At 36.3% G+C, this 21665-nt stretch overlaps 1 long non-coding RNA gene across 1 annotated transcript in view; it reads left to right on the forward strand.

Annotated features, from left to right (window-relative positions):
* Window positions 1-496: 496 nt before the first annotated feature.
* LOC107986773 (uncharacterized) overlaps window positions 497-21665 on the forward strand; it is a 34550-nt gene continuing 13381 nt past the window's right edge. Inside the window, exons 1-2 of the long non-coding RNA XR_001745109.2 lie at window positions 497-1452; window positions 5174-5239. This is a non-coding gene — a long non-coding RNA (uncharacterized LOC107986773). The remainder of the gene's footprint in view (window positions 1453-5173; window positions 5240-21665) is intronic.

Genomic DNA, 21665 nt, shown 5'->3' on the forward strand with positions numbered 1-21665 from the left:
CTCACTATATTAGAATTTCCCCAGAAGAATTTATTGCCATGAAAAAATATGTTCTAGGAAACAAGAGAAATTGTTTTTTTCTCATTTCTGTCACTGTCAGGACTTGCCTCTCCATGCTTAGACCTAGCAGAGAAATCCTGAAGATATCCTGCTGGTAAGTAAGTTAACTGTTAAATAAGGCTCTAGGGTTAAAGGTTAACAGGCATGCATTCAGCAACAACTTTTTATAATAAACATGCATCACACCAATTAACCTAAACACCCTATTATATTAATCATATTTGATTGATTTTATTTCAATTTTCAGCATTCCCACCTAAGTAAATTGCTGTTTCCCTAATATTCCTGGGAGTCAGTCATTATTATCATGTTAAAATTAGTTCCTCTATTGGTCATATTGACATCAGGCATTTAAATGATTATTTAATATAATAAATAAGGTCTAAATGGAGTTTTGCTTAAACTGAATTAATGCTGCTGCCTCTTTCTTTTTATTGATTTTCATGAATTATTTTAGTTGGTCAAAATAAAATAGCGTATAGCTAAAGATTATTGAACTAGAATATATATGGCAATTCATTTATCTCAACCAACTCGGTGATTAATTAATGTAGGTTAATTAATTAACCTTGCTGTATGGCATCCTGTGGGGTTAATGCTAACCATCCATCTATATACTTCTGCCATTGCTGAGGCAAAGGAGTAAGGCATCACTAGGAACTGGAAGATTTACAATCTTCCACAGTCATACCTACATATGGCATAGCAAAAATTATACACGTTCCTATTTGAATAGACCATTATTCCCAGCTTTAAAATAGTAGAAAAGAGGCAGAGAGAGGCGACAATGCTCCCTCCCTTTCCATAGCTTTCCCAGGTCACTACTGAAAGCTTATCAGGCCTTGGTTTAATAATCTCTGTTCCTTGGCAGTCTGCTACTTAGCAACTAAATCATTCTCCCTTTCCCCATTTGTTCTACTCACCTTGCAACCTAAAAGATGAAAAATATTTATCCCAGATGTGTAAATTAAATACGCAGGCATTCAAATTCAGTAGATTTTCATACATTAAGGGATGTCAGGAATGTAGCTAAATGCTAATGTTATCTAGGGTATCTCTGATGAAATGGGATTTAAGTGTGCTTGAGTAGCAAAACTTTATCAGATAGAATGGGATATTTTTACCAAAATAATTTATTTAATGATCTGTGCTTTCCAAATTTATAAGCAAGTATTTTTCCTTAGTAAAAAGAGTGGAGGGGTTCTTAGGGCTCCTTTTTAGTGAACAACCGACCGAAAGGATAATTCTGTAATAATTTCTTTTTTTTGAGATTGAGTTTCACCCTTGTTGACCAGGCTGGAGTGGAATGGATGATCTCGGCTCACTGCAACCTCTGCCTCCCGGGTTCAGGCAACTCTCCGGCCTCAACCTCCTGAGTAGCTGGGATTACAGGTATGCGCCTCCATACCTGGCTAATTTTGTATTTTTAGTAGAGATGGGATTTCTCCATGTTGGTCAGGCTGGTCTCAAACTCCCAACTTCAGGTGATCCACCTGCCTCGGCCACCCAAAGTGCTGGGATCACAGGTGTGAACCACCACGCCCGGCCAATTCTGTAATTCTTAAAAGCTGGTGTGTAGAATGGGAACATAGTGGGGTTTTCATTACAATAGTTTAACTTTCCCCATATTAGGAATATGTGTATGGGTTCTATTTTATTCATATAAACCTTTATTGTTTAAAAAACACAAAGAAATAAAGATTGAAAGAACATTTTATATTCACGTGTATACTCATTGCAATTTTCATCTTTTTTCAACTTCAATGTTTTTAAACTTTAAAGTTTCTCTAAACATTTGCTTGAGCAAAGAAGAATCTGCACTTTAGATATAATTACCAAAAAATGCATAATTAGAAGGAAACACTCAAATGCACAAACACATAAGTCGAGTAAAAAAATACACTGCTGATAAAGCTTTCTTATCTAAATATTTGTTAACGGTTTTGCCAGAACAACAATTACCACAAAACACACACACACACACACACAATGGAATAAGCTTTAATTTAGGACCACAGATTGTGTAAAGCAAGCTCAGATAATTACAAATTAGGCAAAATTGTGGTTAGCTTAATGAAAAGGCTCAAAAGTGTGCCAGGCCAATGGCAAAGGACCTAAATCTAAAGACAGACAAGCTTTTCTTGATTACAGTGATTACATCATGGTCATTAGAATTTAAAGTAACTAACCCAAACACAGACATCATATCTTCATTTGATAGCTGCAGTCTAGTAAATAGTGGGAAAGGATGTTATGTATGGATTAAGCTTGATGAAATGAAAACAGACATTCTTTTTGAACCTGTCTGGCAAAGAAAATAAAAACTTCAGAATCAGTCAGTAAAGTTAGCTTTTAAAGTTCAGTCTCTTTGATTGGAAGGGGTCTGCGTAGTGTTTTTGGCTATTCTTTGTTTTATAGAGAAGCCACTACAACAACTAGCTATGCATGACTCTTTCAGCATGCAGTCTCTAGTCGAGTCAGATGTTAGAGACCAACTTCTTGATACTTAGGCCAATCAGGAATTTTAAATTTTCAAAGCATGATGAGGTGCTAGCAATGGTTCAATATTTATTTTCTCATCAACTGTAATACAATTAAACCTTGTGTGAGTCTTAAGTCTCCAAATGTTGATCCTCAAACAGTCTGCAGGATCCTATCCTGCTCTGCATGTAGCAATTCATGCTGAGAAGACAAATGCTTTGCTCAGGGGAAAGAGATGCATTGGGTTACAGTTAGAGCTACATACATGAAAGCGAGCCCACTGGCCCCTGACCCTGAACCCCTACTTCACAGCATTACCTGTGGGAACACTGCCTGAAGAGCAGTATTTAGGAAGATCAGGGAAGGGAGGCAAAAAAAAAAAAAAAAAAAAAAAAGGTGGAGGTACTAGAGAAAAATAACAGCATCGAAACAGCATGTTGGAGTTTTTCTGTTTTACCTGTCTTATGGATAGAAGATCCCAGCTTGTTTTAAGAAAACACAGCCATTATTTCCTTTCTTGTGTTTTTGGATTCTGCACTAAGAAAATGAAGACATGGAAGCAGTGGACTAATACATTGACATTATATAACCTTAAGAAACAATGACATTGTATAACCTTAAGAAAAAAGTCTGAACTTTATTTATTTATTTATTTATTTATTTATTTTTATTTTTTTGAGATGGAGTCTTGCTCTGTCACCCAGGCTGCAGTGCAGTGGCTAGATGTCAGCTCACTGCAGCCTCCACCTCCCGGGTTCAAGCAATTCTGCTGCCGCAGCCTCCCGAGTAGCTGTACTACAGGCTTGCACCACCATACGTGGCTAATTTTTGTACTTTTAGTAGAGACAGGGTTTCACCATGTTGGCCAGGATGGTCTTGATCTCCTGACCTCGTGATCCACCTGCCTCAGCCTCCCAAAGTCCTGGGATTACAGGCATGAGCTACCGCGCCAGGCCAGTCTGAACCTTAGTAAGACATTCAGTGTGAGTGAATACAAGAACACTCATGTTGCAACTTCAGCATTATCATCATCAAACAGCATTTATTGAGTGTCTGGACTCACTGAGCATCCTTGAACCTACTAAGTTTAAAGTACTTAAGAAAGAAACTAAATCTCATGGTAAACACAACTCAACCAACATGAACTGATATCAGCCCCTTACATTGCGCCTTAAAGAAACCAGATTGTTTAAAGAAAAACTGTGTAGAGACTACATGTAAATCTTGTATGCTTTATCACTCTGGTAAATAAGTGGTTTCATTTTCTACTTTACTGATGTTTCAAAATGGTCAGAGGAACTCATAAAAGTTTCACAGCAATTCTCAGATAAGGTTTTATCATCAAAGACAACAAACTATAGATAAAAATTAATCTTCCAAAATGCATTTTCTTGGGTCATGTTTTCTGGAAATAAAAGTCAATGAAACTTGTAAAGTTTTACTTTGTGTGTTTTCCATGTATCTGCCACAGCCATTGCCATGAAATTTTCCTCCCAGCTGAGAAAATGTGCAAATACAATTGTATTGCTCGGGAACTTTTAAATCTATTAATATACTACAAACCTGAAACCCTAGCCTGCTCAGTTAGAAGCCAGAGAGGTGGTCATGCACAGAAGTCCCAGGAAGCAAATGTGTGTGTTCGACTTCTTTCAGGACATCATATCCCAACTGATTCTGATTTAATTGCTTGGGTAGGGACCAGGCAGAAGCATCTTATACAATCTCCCTAGGTGAATCTGATATTCACTGTGATCTGGTTTGGATTCTTTTACCTATTTCTAGCCATTAAAGCGATGTTACCAATACGTTAGTGACTGGATTTTTCAAGCAGGATAGAAATCACAATGATGATTCCACTAAGAGATAAGCTCCTGGATATCTACAAACTCTGATCACTCTCATTTCTCCTGTTAATCCCTACAGCCATGCCATGGGAGATAAGAGAGAAACAAGCTCTAAATTATATTGAATTGATTGTATAGAGCTTCTTAGACGCTAGCATTTTTCACTCACTTGGATATAGACTTCACTTAGCTGTCCTGGGGATGATGAGGCCCCAGCTTCTGGGACATTTATCACTTAAAAAAGTGGTATGTTGCTGTGACGATTAGAAAAACTGATAGCACTGTAAGGATAAAAGTCGAGTTGGATTCTAGTTCCAAGGGATTCAGCAGAGGCTGTAGGCAGATGCATTATCACACTGAAGGGAAGACAAACAAACAAACAACATCCATACATATACATAGAGTTCGAGGTAACAGGAAAGGTAAGCACTGAGGCCTGAGGAACCCAGAGCTGGTCAGGAACCCAGACAGAGTGGGCGAAGAAGCCAAACATTAAGCAAGGAAGTCAATGTATGCAGTTGATAGATAACTTGGAAACAGAGGCCATGTTCTTCCCACTTAGAAATGATATTCATGCTTCTAGAGTTGAACAATGAGATCAGGCAAGTGAATAAAAAATATCTGAAAGGGAAGACAGAGCAGTAAAAGTTGATGCCAGTTCTAGGTCATTCGTCATTCAGAATTGCATGGAGCTGGTAAAGAAAATAAGTAAATGACTCATACGCATCTGCTTACTGTTCTAGAGACTTCATATATATTGTCACACTTAATTCTCATTATAATTACAGATAAGAATTATTGCACCATTTTTCAGATGAAGAAACTGGAAATTCAGAGGTGTTAGCTTGTCCAAGGTATGTACTTATTAACGATAGAATTAAATTTGAACTATCTGCTTGTAATAAATGTTAGAAAATTTCCTCCCTTTTATTTTATTGCTTTATATTTTATTGCATTATAATTTCTGTGATCCAGAATAGAGAATCAGATAATTAACTACAAAGTGTCGGTGCTTTCTGTAACATTTGTGAAATTATACAGTTGTTTTGCTCATTTTTCATGTTTTTGTATTTTCATTTGCTGGGTTTTTTCTTCTAGCTTTGTAAACTTTGCTAGAAATATCTGAAGTGCTAATATTTGGCAATATATGTTTAAATTTTCTAACATCAAGTTTAATAACCTTAGTAGAATTAAATATATGAAAACAGAGCTTACCTTTATGATGCAGTGAGTATTTTTAACAATGACTTCAAATAGTAGCATAAGTTTACCAAGAATCTATGACTTTGGGATAACTAAATGATATGATTTCAGGTTTTGTTTAAGCAACACACAAACATGAGCTAAATTACTGAGGTTCTGTTTTATTAAAGATATAGAATTAAAATATAATTATAATTTTTTGAAATTAGTTGTCCGTATAGTAAATTATTGAACTGTTCACACATCTAAAACCTAACCTATGTGGATTAGGAACTCACCCTTTATCCAATCCTTGCTGTTTTAAAACTTTTCTAATATGCTAATATTTGAATTTAGAGAAAATTTAGAAAAATTTTTTTTTTTTGAGACAGAGTCTCGCTCTGTCACCCAGGCTGGAGTGCAGTGGAGCAATCTCGGCTCACCGCAAGCTCTGCCTCCCGGGTTCACGCCATTCTCCTGCCTCACCCTCCCGAGTAGCTGGGACTACAGGCGCCGGCCACCATGACGCCTGGCTAATTTTTCGTGTTTTTAGTAGAGACGGGGTTTCACCGTGTTAGCCAGGATGGTCTCGATCACCTGACCTCGTGAACCGCCCGCCTCAACCTCCCAAAGTGCTGGGATTACAGGCGTGAGCCACCGTGCCTGGCCTATAAAATATTTTAAAAGTCACAGCTTTATGTTTTAAAATAAACGTCTGCTGTAGAAGGCAGCATCAGTCCCAATCAATCAATCAGCCAGAGTTTATTCATCCTTTTCTACTTCCTGGATGCTGTTGTACAACCAAGAGAAGGGCGAATAAGACCTGGTTTTGCTCTCAAGAAAAACATACAAAAAATACAAAGAGAATACTCTAAGGTAGAGTTAAGTAAACGAGTATTTAAATAGATACTTTCAATCCAAGACATGAAGGAAGCAGAAAGTGAGGCTTGGAGATGGGTTTATAAAGGAGCTGGCATGTTCAATGAATGCTCAACAAAAAGGTATTATTTAAGGAAAAGTGGCAACAGCTTGTCAGACATAAACAAAGAATGGAAGGAAAACTATGTCATGGCTAGCCAGAGTGATGTGCTCATTTTGGAGAAGTGATACTGAAGACAGAAAGTAAGCCAAGATTACAGACAGCTTTATTTTCGTAGCAGTGTTTTAGACTTAGAACAACTTGCTGAAGGTTTTTAAGGTAAGAACTATTCTTAAAAAGCTTTGTTATAGATCAACTGGATGAAGTTTTGCAGAATGACTTGGAAAAAAAATGTAGTATCAGTCACGTCAAACATTTATCATTTCCTTGTGGTGAGAACATTCCAAATCCTCTCTTTTAGCTATTTTGAAATATACATTATTATTAACTGTAGTCACCCAGCGACATAATAGAACACCAGAACTTATTTCTTCTATGTATAATGGTATTCAAAGAGGTATTGAATTTTCATTTTTTTCTTGTTTTAGTATATATATTTTAAAAAGTCCTGTTATTGTTGAAAACCAAAAGGAATTTTGAAGGAAAAAATAGGAGCTTAAATACCTGAATAGTATGGCTGTAAATGATAGAAACATTAAATGTGACTCCAAAAGGCATTTGTAACAGTGGTACAAATAACAGAATGGGAGCTGGGTAGTGAGCGGATATTAAAATTCCATTTTGAACATAGTGGCAGTAAATTGAAAATATCTCAGAAATAGCTGAGCACGGGAGACTAGTGGTCTGTTCTGAAGATGGAGATTTGACAACAGGGAAACACTATGACATAGTGAGTTAATGTTCATACAAATTTAGGGCTTATTCTGATCCTTTCTCTTTGTCATCTGGGTGACCTCACCTAAGTCATCTAATCCTTGGAGTCTTAGATTTTTTGAAAATAAAAATTGTCTTTCAAAATTTTGGTGACTAGCACTTTGTAGGCACAATTGAAATGTTAGTTATTCTGAAGAAATAATCATTATCAAAAAATTTATTATGGCATCTCCATTGCTGTTTCACTTTAATTGAAGTTTGTCCTTGGCATACTAGTTGAGAACACCATCATGAGTTAATATGATTTTTTTTAAGTCAGGAATGTGCTAACATGGGTACTTTGGCCTAACACATGCAAAAGTATCGATTTGTGTGGAGAAATCTTTTCTCAATTAGATGCCTGAAAGGACAAAACATCATTATATGAATAACTTCGCTTTTTCTAAGTTCATCTTCCTAAAATACTGTATAACATATCCCAAAGGATATTGCTAATTTGAATCTCCTATTTTTGTAAAAGCTGTCTAAGAAACGAGTAATGAGAAGTGGTCATTTCTATGTAGCTAGAATATGTCTATCAGAAATGATGCCTGATGAAATGTGAAAATGCTGATTAATGAAGGAGAGATCGTATAGGTCTGGAAATGCCAGATAGCCCAGCACTCTAGGTTGCATCGGAAAGCAAAGAACGGGGGGAAATGTTCTGGTTTAGCCTCTGAATAAAAGAACTTCAGTCCCCGTGACTGCCCATCTGGCATTTTTCACCAGCACCAAATTCATTAGCAATGATTAGTCCTTTTCTCCAAACCTTTCACTCAAAATAAGTAAATAGAAGGAGAATTTAGGCAGTAAAAGATCAAGGGACAGTATCTCTATTTTAAGATGTCCTTAAGTTATCCTGATTGGTCAAAGCCTAAACAAGCATTAAAGAAGGAGGTACATGATGAAAAGATGAATTTTCCCTAAACAACCTAATGTTATGTTCTATGTTAGGTAACAGAGAATTTGGTTAAAGTGATTCACATATATTGACATTTCTTCACGTGAATTTAGATCAAAAATGACATGGAAGAATCTTTTTATTTCATTACCTCAGCCTTTATGTCTTTAATAGAAACCCTCACTATATAAAATTTTCATGTTTTTTAGCTCAATTTTTAAAAAATATACAATGTTATAATAAAAGATCTGTTTAATGCTGAGTCATCATATGGTCGATTGGACCCTCCATCATTATATTGGTTGATATCGTAAAGCCAATAGGCTTCCTAAGACTTTAGTAACCGCCTTCAACCTTTATGTATCAGCAGTCAACTCTAGATTTTAGGACTCAGTTTTAAAAGGAGAACAGAGAGAGGGAGATGGAGGGGGAGGGAGAGAAAGAGAAGAAGAGAGACAGAATTTAAGAATAGAGATTTAAGATTTAATAGAGATTTAATAATTTAAATAGAGATTTAAATTATTCACTTCTTAAATAGAGATTTAAGATTTAATAGAGATTTAATAATTTAAATAGAGATTTAAATTATTCACTTCTCAGAAGTTGCTCTTTTAGAAAATGCTTTCTGAAAATCACGATATAATGTGGCTCACCTAGAAAAAAATCAGGATTTACAAAACTGTCAGAAGCCTACATCAATTTTTTGATTAAATGCATATAACATAAAAATTAAAGAAACTTATCACTATACAGTGACCAAAATACTACAGTACTATACAATCATTTTCATATTAGATTTCATATAGGTTGGTACAAAAGTAATAGCCGTTTTGACCATTACTTTTTTTTTTTTTTTAAGACGGAGTTTGGCTCTGTTGACCAGGCTAGAGTGCAGTGGCATGATCTCTGCTCACTGCAGCCTCCGCCTCCCGGGTTCAAGCAATTCTCCTGCCTCAGCCTCTGAGTAGCTGGGACTACGGGCGCCCGCCACCACGCCCGGCTAATTTTTGTATTTTTAGTAGAGACGGGGTTTCACCATGTGAGTCAGGGTGGTCTCAGTCTCCTGACCTCATGATCCACTGGCCTCCAGAAGTGCTGGGGTTACAGGCATGAGCCACTGTGCCCGGCCTGGCCATTACTTTTAATGGTAAAGACAGCAATTACTTTTGCATCACCTAATAAATATGCTAGTTAACAGTGGTGAGAGAAATAATATAAGTTGTTTTATGAAATCCCATAGTATGGTGCCATATCTTTTCCCAAGCATATTTTTATTTATGCCTGGGTAAATTCCTATTACTTATTGCTGTCCTTTTTTTTCATGTATTAACCTTGCTTCTCATATTCTCATGTTCCCTTACACTCTTACTCTTAGTTATATTTTATGTTTTTGGAAATTCACTTTGTAACCAGATTTGTGTATGTAACTACACATTTAATGTCATGCATATTTAATACTATGCACTCCTAATAACATCTACCATATAAAGAACATGCATTTTAAGAAGTATGTTGGCAATAGCCACAAAGCTTTTATTTTGTGTGTGTGTGTGTGTGTGTGTGTGTGTGTGTGTGTGTGTGCGTAGGGGGTCCTGATCTGTAAATGTGTTCTCAAATACAATAATCTTAATATTGTTGGATTTTTTTTAAAGGGATACAATGTGAATAGGTAATACTTATTGAGCACTGGGCTAAGCCATACACACACACACACACACACACACACACACACATACACACACACACAGAATGTCATTTTTGCTCATATAATAACCTTATAAAGATGGAAACTATTTTTATCCTCATTTTAATATTAAAAAAGAGGTTTGAAAGCAAGTAACTAGAATGAAGGTACATTGTAAATGGTGGGACTGTAATTGAAAATCTTGAGCTCCACATGTTTGTAAAACAGAATTCTCAGAAAACAAGATAATTTTCATGTATACTGGCATTAGCTATAGTGCTTATGGCCTACAATTTTGGTTAGTTCTGCCACTGAGAGATTAATTTTCTGCCATTGGATATTCCTCAATACCAGTTGTCTGTCATATTTCCCAATTTGCTGAAGGCTAACAATGAGGGTGTGTGTGTGTGTGTGTGTGTGTGTGTGTGTGTGTGCAGGACAGGTAAGGGAGAAAGGATTTCATTGAGAGTGAGTTCTTCACCAGACTGAAGGATGCTGAATACTGCTGAGTATGATCTCCTTGCCCTGGTAATAATTCCTTTAGGGTTCTAGGGAAGAAGTATATGGCACCAGAAACAAGCCTTTGGGTTTAGATCATTGTTCAGTTTGATAACTTGGGAGTTGGGACTTCTGACTGTGATTAACTGGTTGGTGCACACTGAAGTCTATCTTTAGCATGCTTCAGCATCTCTCTGATGGCATTAGTGGATGGGGAATTTACATTTTTGTTTTCAAAAGAGAATAACCAAATGCCTAGAATTAGTACTAGCATAGCAAAATTTTAGTGGTGAGTACCTGTAAATATTTTCTTGAAAAATCAATTATTTCATAACAGTGGTAGCAAAATTAATTTGTCAAATATTTATGACAAAGTCTGTGCCAATTCCTGCCTCATTTTTACCTTGATCAGGAACCTCCAATGCTGCTAATGCTCTGTTTTCACTGAAGGAAACACCTGTTGCCTAAAATATTAATAACTCAGGTCAATTTTAAGACTGTGAAACCTCGGAGTCTATTCCATGGTTATTTTTATTTGTTTAACTATTACAAATAGGCACTTCATCTTTGAAATGAGAACAAGTTGTATAACTTTATTAATGAAAACTAGAAGTCTGAACTATTCTACTACTTGGCTATGTAAGTGGTTTGTGATAACCAATACATCTTCCTTTCATGAAATGTTCTAGAGATACATTTTCCTGACGTCCTTAGTCAGTTGATAGCTTATCTCTGCAGGAGCCATGATTTAGTTTTGCAGATCTAGTAGAAGGAAGAATTTCCAATATATTTTTTTAAAAACTAAAATTTGATTTCCATCTGGGCAATATGGATTCTCCATTCACAAGGCTGTAAAATATCTATGAATAAAAATTTTCTAGCATGAGATCTCTATTGAGGAGGAGTCTGGGATAAAGACTATTGGATCAGAAGTCAACAGCTTTAAATTCTTGTTCTTGTGTAATGTCGAACCACCCTGACACCTTGGTTACATCGCTTAATTTCCCCGACGCCATTCTTTTCATTTGTTAAACAAAAACTTCAGTTTCTGGGGACTCTCCTTACTCCAACTCAATTAATGACTACGTGTTCCCTCCAGTTTTGTTTGGGACCAGAGTGTGCCCATTGCCATTCCTGTGGCTGTGAGCGCTTGTCACTTTGATACATCCTGAGAAATGAGTATTTGGCTTGTTTAGTGACACTAGATGAAGCCTAAAGTTTATGAAGCTGCTGTAGGTTTCGTTGTTTCGGCAGCACTTTTTATTATCACATCTAGGTTTTATAAGTACTGATTAATATAGAGGAGATGACAGATTTTTTTCTATGAATGTTTTATATACTATAATCCTATTTTTTAAAAAAATCAGTTATTTAATTGGAACATTTTAAAAAGGATTTGTTTTATTTGAGGGGCTCCAGTTTTTAAAGAAGTTAAAAGTAATCTTAAAAAGTTCGAAATAGGGCCGGGTGCAGTGGTTCATGCCTGCAATTCCAGCACTTTGGGAGCCTGAGGCAGGTGGATCACCTGAGGTCAGGAGTTCGAGATCAGCCTGATCAACATGGTGAGACCCCCGTCTCCACTAAAAATTCAAAAATTAGGTGGGCATGGTGACGGGTGCCTGTAATTCCAGCTACTCAGGAGGCTGAGGCAGGAGAATCACTTGAACTCAGGAGGCAGTTGCAGTGAGCCGAGATCGTACCATTGCACTCCAGCCTGCACAACAGAGCAAGACTCGGTCCCCCCCACCAAAAAAAAGCTCAAAATAGGTATATGATAACATCAAATAAGAGAATTTAAAAAGCTGACTTTTCGCTATGTTGAACTCAGTCTTATTCATGAATAAATTTGGTAGTATACATAGTTGGCTCAAAGGTAATTATCTGGCGAAGCTGAAATTTTATTGTGATAAATATTATTAGTCATTGTATATTTATGCTAAGATGGACTATTCATATGTAAATTAGTCAAAAGCTGAAGAAAATGAGGAGTTAAATCAATGAAAGCATTTCAGAGTTGATTTATATGATATTCAAAAGTAGTAACTTATTTATCAAAGACTATGAGTCTAAAAGCACATGTAAATTCCCTTCCGTTAATGTATCTCTTTCCTACTTCCCCATCCACCTCTAAAAAACTCCGTAGTTTCTAGACTGTGACCTTTGCTGAGACTTAATATTCTAAATCAAGTTATTATACTAGGTTTCCCAGTGCTCTCCTTCACTCTGTTGAAACTCTAAGTTGATATTTAAGAACAATTCATGCAAACTTTGAAAAAAAGTACCATTTCCAGTTTAAAAAAAAAATCTTAAAGCTACTTTGAGTGCTGTCCAGGAAAGAAAACAGATTACAACTTTTGATAACATAGGAAGAAAATATTATTATCACAGCTTGAAATCTGTTAACAGGAACTTTCTTTAGGGAACAAACATTAAAGTACAACAGAAATTTAATTACAAGAAGATTTTCCACTTGTCAGAAATATTTGCATTAATGTCAGTAATAACTACAATAAAGAGACTATTGTCTGTTGCTGGGAGAAAAGGAGATGAAAGGATCCCTGAGTCCCTGTTACAGACACACTAAAGGCACGTTGAATATTGAGATTTTCTTTTGGATAAACCAAAACAAAATATTGAGTAAAAAAATATTAAAGCAATATTCATTCATTAGTATCATATTGATTGTCAATGTTTACCAGGGAATTGTCGGGGCTACTATTTGCCCTTTTAGCCTGGTATGAAATTAGCTCATTCAGTATATAATATTTGTGGAGAAATGTGACAGCAGCATAGAAGAACATTGAGATCTTTTATTGATTCTTCCTTTGCTTTCCACCCCTGAGTTCAGGGCACTGCTTATAGCATAAGTTTCAAGAGCTGTATCTAATCTAGATATTGAATTTGTTTAGAACCTCTATCATAATGACATTGCAAGAGTGAGGGGCAACAGGAGGTCCCTGGCAGATGAGGTAATCCTTTCAAATGCAGTGTTTATAGGCCTCTTTGTGCTAGTGAAATGAATGTATTGCAAGGAACTAAGAGTATTCTCATGAATTAATTTTCGTTATCCATCTAGTATCTATTGGAAAAAAGGGAGCACTTTGCAGAGCTCTTACTATTTGTGAAACCCTTTGCACATATTGTTTCACTTGTCCTTACAATACTTTCTTTCCTTTTTTTTTTTTTTTTTTTTTTTTTGAGACAGGATCTTGCTCTGTCACCCAGGCTGGAGCGTGCAGTGGTGCAATCTTGGCTCACTGCAACCTCCACCTCCTGGGTTCAAGTGATTCTCCTGCCTCAGCCTCCAAGGTAGCTGGAATAACAGGCACCCACCAGCATGCCTGGCTAATTTTAGTATTTTTAGTAGAGACGGGGTTTCACCATGTTGTCCAGGCTTGTCTCGAGCTCCTGACCTCAAGTGATCCACCCGCCTTGGCTTCCCAAAGTGCTGGGATTACAGGCATGAACCACCACACTCAGCCACAATACTTTCTTGATGTGGGTATAATTATGTTCTTTTCAGATACTTCAGAGAAGTAAAGTGTATTTCTTAAGGCCATTTAGCTAGAACACAGTGAAGCCACGATTCAAATGTAGGACTGCAGAGTTCACAAAACATGCACTTAACCACACCATTTTCTATAGCTTTGGTGAGCAATTTGAAATATCCTTTGAGACCAATTTCAACGTCAACATAATAAAGACAAAGCTTTTATCTAGTGTTTCCCAACCTATGGATTATGTACCCTTGGGAGATACCCAAGTTAATATAATGCATCCGTAAATCCAAATATACATCAAGCATTATCTATATGCAATGAAGCTGTTACATCCTACATTTATTAAATGTAAATATATGCATATAAATAATAAGATATAAATCCAATTATTAATCACCATTGATTTTTAGGAGCTTTGTTCTTTATAATTTTCCTAAGCAATTTTGTCAAAAAGGAATAATTCTAAACATGTGGGGTTAGCAAAGTTATTGTTATGATTTTTTACTTTCAAAAGGGGTTCTTGTTCTTGAAAATCCTAAGAACTGCCATTTTGTGGGGTAATGATTTGGACTACTTTTACTCATATCATTCATTGTACATTCATTCATTCAGTAATTAAATTCTGGTTGAACATCAACCATATGCCAGACATTATTTCTAGTAGCAGTAAAGAAAATGGACAAAGATCCCCACTTTTGAGGAGCTTAAATTTTGGTGTCATGTATATTATGTTATAATGTATATGTTGTAGCACAGCCAGAACTGTTTTCTAAAATAATCTTGGCCCGACATGAAGATATTGCCTTGCTAACCTTTTTTGTAGAGTTAGAGTGGGAAATGATTCAGACTAGAATCCTGTAAGGTTCTGACAGAGGCGATTTTGGAAGTTTGGATTGGATAAATTGTCAATCAGGATCAGCTGTATGCAATGCCTAAACTCTAGGGTATTGCCATAGAATGTAGCCTTGGTGATCCAACTCTTATTAAAGCTCGTTTTTTGAAAATTAATACTAAAAAAATAGCCTGAAGTATATGCATCCTGATCCATCTAGTCTGCTAAATAGCATAAAAATGTATCCCTGAATAAAGTTAGGCAATCAGAAAGCTGCCTGCTTAGATTGTGTGGTTTTGGCAGTCCTTTCGAATTCTGTACATTAAATTGTGCTTTGGCATGAAGTTGGTGAATAAGGTGGGGCAGCCACAGTGAGAAACAACTCTATGGAGCTCTCTGTGTATTGCAGGTTTATTATAGAGGATGACGCTCCCCAAAATTTCCTCAGTGTCCCTTCTGTGATGAACCGTAGGAGAGTTTTGTGTAGACTTCAGTGTAGCAAAATGTGTGTTTCTCTGGAACAGCTGGTATTTTTTTATCTTACGCACAATGATAACTTATAACTGATCATATTTCTCAATTTATTTTGTCTGATAGGGGAGTCAGAGCTGAATTTATGATCCATTTTAAATTCTTTTGCAGAAATATACACATTTATTTCCGAGTTCTTACTCTCTGGCATCTTCATAAAATATGAGCTTCATTTTCTCTGTGTCCTGATTTTCCTAATTTAAAAAGTTTTATTTTACTATGTGAATTTTTATAAGCAACTACAAATACTTTTGAGAACAAGGCAGGCTACGTGGTTATTAATGAAATAAGTATAATAAGAGCTAGGAGAGATTGGAGAAGTAAAAACTCTAACCCCCAGCGTCATAACAAAAGTCATAACAAATGTACCATAATAGTGTAAATTAACCCTGTAAGGTGACTGCTCACCATTTTTTAAAAACTGTTGCAAAATCAGCCCCAGAAAATCCCTTAAACTGTCTTCAGATTCTTGCCCCTACGCTAGCACCCTGTGGTTTGCTGTTCTCAGGGCTTTCCATTTCTGTATAGGGTGGCTCAAAGAAAACAGTTTACCTGAAACAAGAATTTAAACAACTAAAGATAAAGTTGGATGATATGTTTATAATATTTTATTTGAATTATACCATCTACATCTTTAAGGACCACATATTCTTATAACTCAGTGTAAGACAGAGTCTTTATTTCTGATAAGAGCTTGGATAGAATATTTTGACATTTACACTGAGTTTTACATTCTATGCTTCCTCTAATTAGATTACTTTTCCAAGTTGTTTAATTTCAGTCTCCTACGAAATAGAATTCATATGAATAGAAGTATTTGCTTATTTAACAAAGACATATTTTAACAACACTCTATATCTAAGTTTCAGAGACCCAGTTACATTGAGAGAATAGAGATAACTTCATGCTCTAGCCATGCTGGTCTATCTTTATTTTTAAAATAAGAATTTAAGCCATACTCCACTATCAGTTTTGTTGGTTTATTAACTGTAGAATACTAAAGTAACTGATGATCACAGGAGGTTCCTGTTGAAGTTCATTGGACTGAGGATGATAAATCTCTTAAGAGGAATTTAGATTAGTAAATGTACAGCCCTCACAGGTCATATTAAGCTTATTATTCCCAAATATGACTTTGGTTCTTTCCATAGAGCACAATTCATACTCCTCCATGGTCCCAAGGAGATTATAGATGTAAACAGGAATTTTCTCTTGTGGAGTGAAAGAGGAGTCCAGCAGGATGTGAACCAGGCTAATAAAATGTGAATTTATGGGCGTTCTGCTTCTGAACCCACTTTCTGTGTCTGTTAAGTCCAGGTCTTCCTAATCCTTCCCCACTGCAGACAGGTGCTGCTCTTCTTTTTATATAGTTATTGAATATTAACTACAAAAGTGTGTTCTAAGATAATATTAGGATTCTGGCATTCATAGCCACTGAAGGCAAACAAATCAGTGCTCAGGTGAATTAAGAAGAACCAAAGCCCCAGTCGAACAATCTCTGAGACAGTGTTTGGCCATGTATTTGAATAAAGTATAAACAGCTTCCTTAAATTTTTAAAATGTTTTAGTTAGTTCTGAAAAAAACTTTTGTCTTGATAATTGTCTGCATATTTATTTATAAAGACTGATAATTGATCTAAAATATTCAGAAAGAATTAAGCAGTAGACATTATCCCAGACCCATATGGCAACCATTTTATGAAACTTTATTTAGCACTCAAACAAACAAACAAACATTCCCAGTGAAAAAAATACTGAGCACTGTATTTCTCATACAGTCACAAATAAATTTTGTGGTTTTCTAAGATACCTAACACTTTTCTCAAAGTGAGAAGCTTTTCAAAGTTAAAGTCAGTTATTCATGTGGAGTGATTCTTAAAATGCGTAAGAATGTAAATAGCCAAAAATTGAAGTTAACCTCTTTTGACAATTCTGTAATGTCTACCATTACAGATTCAAAACAAGACAATAATTCTATATGAAAACTTTACTAGTTTGGTCCTAAAAAAAATCTAGGATAAAAAGATATGTGGGATGCTTCCACATACTATTTCATAAAATTATGCGATTTGATCTGCTTGTCGTAGTCTGGAATGTATTTTCCCTGGTGTTTGGCTTTTTCCCCCTCATGCCTGAAATGAATTTTCTGCAGTTTACATCTTTGCTACATACTATGTAGTCTGAACAAAAATATCATCCTTCTCTACGGAGTGAGTGAAGCAAATGCTTCTTTACATGGGGTATTTCACCACCTATACTTCTTCAGGTGCTTTTGTTTAGAAATGTCACTCAGTTCATTTTTACTCCTTACTGTATTTTTAATGTAGTAAAATCTCCTTTGTGTCATGTCTATTATGAACTCTTTTAATTTCAACCTGCTGCTTGCATAAGTCTTAACCTATCTAAAATACTGCCACCTATTTCCTATCATTTCTCTTCTTTGCTTTTTTGTTTCTTCCCACTTTTTATTGCCTTTCTTAGTGTAGGCTCTTTGGAGATAATCAGCAAATATTTGTTGAATAAATGAACAAATAAACAAATTCATCTGTTACATCTACCATATATTGCCTCATGTTGTAATTAAATTGTGTACAAATAAACTGTAAGTTCCTTGAGGGATATAATGTAGAAATACATCCCCTCCTCCACACTTATAAGTGTGCACACCCACATACATATACACAGTACCTTGCTCAGAATATTTCCAAGGTAGATTGTAGATGTCAAAATGTTTATATTGAATATGTATGTCAAGGTAGGTTAGTGGCATATCAAAACATGGAATATACTGACACCACATCTTAAATGTGATGCTATTCTTTTTTATTTATTCATTCAACAAACATTTAGGGAGTTCCATAGTATGCCACACATTGTTTCTGATACCAACACAGTGGTGGTGAATGAAATAGATGGAGTTTCTGACTTCATAGGTCTTATATTCTAGTAGAGAGACAATAAACAAAGAGATGAATAAATATGTGACATGCCATTATTAATAACATGCTATAAAGAAAATGAAACAGGGTCCTTGCAGTGACCATGAAGAAAAGGGCTACATCAAATCAGGCCTCTCCACAGTGATATTTAAGTAGAGATATGCATGAAGCAAAGGAATGAGTCATGTAGCTATTTGGTAGAACAATGGTTTAAGCAGAGAGGACAGCAAATAAACAAGTTCTTAGGCCAGAATGAAATTGGCCAGTTCAAGGATGAGCAAAATAGCCAATGTGGTGAGCTCATGTGAATGAGACAGAGGACTGGATTATCTACCTGGGCATATCCACTTGAATGTTACACAGGCAACTCTAATGAGAAGGAGCCAGCAAAGGAGCCTGCGATGCCTTGGCCACTGAGGAAGAAGTAAAATTAGGGACTATGAACCCTTGGAGCACAAAGTGTCCAAGAAGAAGGGGATGATCTTCCGTGTTCAGCACTGCAGAGAGATCATTTAAAATGAATATTGAACATTGATCAGTTGCTTTGGCCAGAAGAACATCCATGGAGATCTTTAAAAGAATGGTTTCCATAATGAGTGGGGATGAGCACCCAACAGGAGTTGGTGGAATAAAGAAGGAGAGGTGAGAAACTGGAGAGAGTGAATATAGGTATATTTTGAGCAGGCAGGAGTTTCTTTAGAAAGGAAAACAGCAATGGAGAAGTTCTGTGGGGGATACTTAGGGCCTGGAGAATTTTTTGTTTGCTTGTTTATTTTATAAGATGGTCAATATTACAGCATTACAAGTTGAGCATTTCTCATCCAAAATCTGAATCATCCAAAAATCTGAAATCTGAGATGCTCCAAAATCTGAAACTTTTTGAGTGTTGACATGATACCAGAAGTGAAAAATTTCACACTATACCTCATGTGCTGGGTCATATTAAAATGCAGGCACACAACACACAATTTATTCAGCATCTCCAAGGGAGAAAACACCCTCCCAGCCCGCATCAGCCGTGATAGATCTGTTTCCCACACGCCCAGATTCCTCCATGCAAGCACACCCACAAAGGGTAATAAAATGGCACGTGTGCAGGCCGGGTAAGCCAACAGCAGGGTCTTCTTCATGCCCCACATGGGGCCAAGACCTACAGACATTGCTCACTGTACTTTTTGCTTATTCTCTGCTCTGTGGTGTAAATATATTGTTAAAAATGTCAAAAAGGTGTGTACATACCCCAATGGCTAACAGGAATAAGAAAAAGAGGAAGAACTTATGTTGATCTATGGCACAGAAGGTCACACTGTTGAAGAAACTAGACAATGGTATAGTGTGAAATGTCTTACAGAAGAGTATGGTGTTGGACTGACTCCTGTATATAACCTGAAGAAACAGAAGGATACACCGTTGAAGTTCTTCTGAAAGTGATGAACAGAAGTTAGTGAAAGATAGAGAAACACTACATAAAGTTAAAAATGAAGATCTCAATCATGTATTGAAAGAGTAAACCCTAAGTGTTGCAGTGAACACATCCACTTTCTTGCATACTGATGGTAAAACAAGAAAAGATCTATCACAATAAACTGAAAATTGAAAGGGACTGTGAATATTCAACAGACTGGCCACAGAATTTTTTTTAAAAGACATGACATGAAAATTTTAAGGACATTAGGTATATAGCAGCTGCTCATCATAAAACACCAGAGAAATTCATTGATGAGTGTGCCAAGGCCATTGATGATGAAAATATGACACCAGAACATATAATGAAAATATAATGCTGATAAGACTTCATGCTTTTGGCTTTATTACCCCAGAAAGACACTGACTACATCACGCTTTTGGCTTTTTTACCGCAGAAAGACACTGATTACAACAGGTGAGACAGCCTTTATAGAAATTGAGGATGCCATGGACAAAATAATTGTGCTGAGATGTGTTAATGCAGTAGGCACTCATAAGTGTAAACTGGCTGTGATAGACAGACTTTTGCACCCTTGCTGTTCTCAAGGAGGGAATGTCTTACTAGCCCGTTATTATGCTAACCCAAAGGTATGGATCATCAGAGACCATTTTGCTGGTGGGTTTCACAAGCATTTTATACCAGTGGCTTGTGCTTACTGCAAGGAAGCTGGACTGGATGACAACTGCAAGATTTTCTTATTCCTCGACAACTTTTCCACTCATCCTCCAGCTGAAATTCTCATCAAAAATAACGTTTATCCCATGTACTTTCCTCCAAATGTGACTGTATTAATTCAACAATGTGACCAACATATTCTTAGAAGAATACCTTGAAGAGTAAATATAAATACCTTGAAGAGTAAACATAAAAACACCTTCTCAAACAGCACGCTAGTAGCAGTGAACAGAGGAGAGCATGTGGAAGGTTTTCAAAAAAGTTTAGCATGAAGGGTGCTGTATATGCTGTTGCAAATGCTGGGAACACAGTGACTAAAGACACAGTTGTGCATGCCTGGCACAATATCTGGCCTGAAACTGTATTCAGTGATGATGATGAAAAAGGTGGCGATGTAGAAGGATTTCATATGCCAAGTGAGAAAGAAATACTGTCTGACCTCCTTAAATAGGCAAAAAAAATGTACCTTCGAAGTCCATCAGTAAGCTGGCAGAAGTCAATATTGAAGAAGTTTTTAACATCAATAATCAAGCTCCGGTTGTTAATTCCTTAACAGATGGCGAAATAGCCAGGGAATGGTTCTGAATCAAGGTGATTGAGATAACAGTGACAATGAAAATGACATTGTTAACTGTAGAAAAAGAGTCTATAAATGGCATGGTGAAATGTGAAAATGTGTGGTGGTGGTCTTTTTGAAGGACTAGAGCAGTGTGCGTTTGTAACAGAAAAATAAATGATGTAAGCGGATAAAATCAAAGAGCTCTCTAAAACAAAACCATTGTTAATGAGGCAGATGACTCTGGAGGAAACATTTAAAAAAGCCATCCGGGAGGATGCTTCCTCATCCCTGCAGGACCCACTTCCTGGTCCCTCAACTGCTTCTGATGTTTCTTCTCACCTAAAAAAAAAAACAAAAAAAAAAAATACAGTGCACAGCAACCTTTTCATCAAAGCACAGCACTGTAGGTGGGGACTGAAAGCCTGCCATTGTTTGTTGTTGCTGTTGTTTGATAGCTGATACAGGTATTCTGGTCATACTACTGGGCTGCTTCATTATCCTGAACACATTGTTTTTATCATTGTATTAATAGTATGTCATTTTTTAACTGTTAAGTACTTATGTGTGAATAAGTATAAGAAAATGATGGCTTATAGGTAGCATACAAATTCAGAGTCAGGAATGATGGTCATGCCAAATAACCACAGATTGCCTCATGGGTGGCTGAGATAGTCACACCTTTGTTTCTGAGGGTTTAATGTTTACAAACGCGGTTTCAT

This window comes from Homo sapiens, chromosome 7 (genome assembly GCF_000001405.40).
Source record: "Homo sapiens chromosome 7, GRCh38.p14 Primary Assembly".
Lineage (NCBI taxonomy): Eukaryota > Metazoa > Chordata > Mammalia > Primates > Hominidae > Homo > Homo sapiens.